Consider the following 2,216-nt stretch of genomic DNA (forward strand, 5'->3'; position numbering starts at 1 on the left):
GTTTTTTTTGTTTTTTGTTTTTTGGTTTTTGGTTTGGTTTGGTTTTTTTGAGACAGAGTCTTGCTCTGCCACTCAGACTAGAGTGCAGTGGCACCAACTCAGCTCACTGCAACCTCTACCTCCCGGGTTCAAATGATTCTCTTGTCTCATCCTCCTGAGTAGCTGGGATTACAGGTGCACGCCACCACACCCAGCTAATTTTTTATATTTTTGGTAGAGATGGGGTTTCACCTTGTTGGCCAGGCTGGTCTCAAACTTCTGACCTTAAGTGATCTGCCCACCTTGGCCTCCCAAAGTGCTGGGATTACAAGTGTGAGCCGCCGCGCCCGGCCTGCCCTTGCTTTTTGGGTTTTGTCTTTGCCACCCAGAGTGGCGTCACCTGGATAACATGCCCTAAGACTGCAGGGATGTAGGTGAGTCTGTCCCAGTCCAGGAAACCAAGGCTAGTATCAGATTGGCTTTCATGGCTTCTGGGCAGAGCCCAGATCTGCACCTCACGTGTCCCGGAGTCAGGGAAGGGTGATACTGGCTTCCCCAGTTCTGCCCTCTGGACGGGCGCTCCGTTGACAGAGACCCTGAAGAGCATCATGCCAGGTGTGGCCTCAAATAGTAAAGATAAGAGAAACAGAACTCGAGGAGGAGAAATATAGAGGCCAGGCCAAGGCCGTGCACAGCCCCCTACAGCATCTGGCACTGTGGTCGCTTCTTTACTCTGCCTCCCTCCTCTGGAGCTCCCGTGAATGTGAGCGTCCTCCTCCTGGCTGGACGGCATCTCCTCTCTCTGGGCCTTCTGCCCTGGCCCCATCCTCCCTCGGACTGGGTGCCGAGTCTCAATGTTGGTCACTTATGACCCCAAATCGCCTTCTCCAGCTGGACACCCCCAGTCTCCTGGGCTGGACTCTGCAGTCACCTTTAGTGCTCCCAGCTCCCCTGTTCCTAAGCCCTGCTGTTTCTACCTTTGGGAGGACACGCAGGCTGTCAGCCCATGTTTGCCGAGTGCTACGGTGCTTGAGTGTGCATAGCCCTAAACAGGGAGCTGGCACTGGGTGTTATGACTCCCCTTGCTGTAAACTTTAAGGACTCAAACAGAAGCAGAAAAAAGTGAAAATAAGCAACATCTACTGAGTACTGACCACCCACCAGGCTCCGTTCCTTATGCCTGAAGGGGAGCGGCTCATTTAAACCTTACACCTGAATGGGAGCGCTCATTGAACCCTTGCGCCCAACCCCACAGTGAGGAGCCATCATTTTCACCTTCCCTGTTCAGATGAGGAAATGGACTATTGCAGTTAGAGGTTGCAAAGCCAAGCTGGGGTTGACCCAGCCAGGTAGGTCTCTACCCAGGTGCTCAAACGCAGCTGGGGCAATTGAAACAAGTCTTGAAATCAGTTACAGAGATTCTTTCTTTTTTGTATTTTACCATTTACCTAACTTTACATGCAACTTCCTTAGTTCAGATACAATGTTTCATTAAAAAAAAAAAAATCTGGGCTGGACATGGTGGCTCACGCCTGTAATCCCAGCTCTTTGGGAGGCTAAGGCAGGCAGATCACTTGAGATCAGGAATTCGAGACCAGCCTGGCCAACATGGTGAAACCCTGTCTCTACTAAAAAAAATACAAAAATTAGTCAAGCATGGTGGCACATGCCTATAATCCCAGCTACTCTAGAGGCTGAGGCAGCAGAATGGCTTCAACCCAGGAGGCAGAGTTTGCAGTGAGCCGAGATCACACCACTGCACTCCAGCCTGGGAGACAGAGTGAGACTCTGTCTAAAAAAAAAAAAAAAAAAGTCTGCTCTTCTTTAGAGCAAGGGTCCCCAACCCCCGGGCCTCGGATGGGTACAGGTACATGGCCTGTTAGGATCCCAGCTGCACAGCAGGAGATGAGCCGTGGGTGAGTGAGCATTACCGCCCGAGCTCTGCCTCCTCTTACATCAGTGGCAGTGTTAGATTCTCACAAGGGCGAGAACCCTATTGTGAACTGCTGTGAACTGCACATGCGAGGGATCTAGGTTGGGTGCTCCTTATAAGAATCTAATGCTGGCCAGGCACGGTGGCTCACACCTGTAATTCCAGCACTTTGGGAAGCTGAGGCAGGAGAATCACTTGAACACGGGAGGTTGCAGTGAGCTGACCCTGCCATTGCACTCCAACCCCCGGCGACAGTGTGAGACTCTGTCTCAAAAAAAAAAAAAAAAAAAAAATCTAATGCCTG

At 51.2% G+C, this 2,216-nt stretch overlaps 1 annotated feature.

The window, feature by feature from the left end:
- Positions 207-984: an enhancer, noted in NCBI's record as "H3K4me1 hESC enhancer chr22:39370179-39370956 (GRCh37/hg19 assembly coordinates)". NCBI's record gives its function as "activates a minimal SCP1, AML or CMV promoter by ChIP-STARR-seq in naive H9 embryonic stem cells {active_cell/tissue: H9 hESC(naive)}" and the evidence as "EXISTENCE:reporter gene assay evidence [ECO:0000049][PMID:30033119]".

Source organism: Homo sapiens, chromosome 22 (assembly GCF_000001405.40).
Source record: "Homo sapiens chromosome 22, GRCh38.p14 Primary Assembly".
NCBI classification, from domain to species: domain Eukaryota; kingdom Metazoa; phylum Chordata; class Mammalia; order Primates; family Hominidae; genus Homo; species Homo sapiens.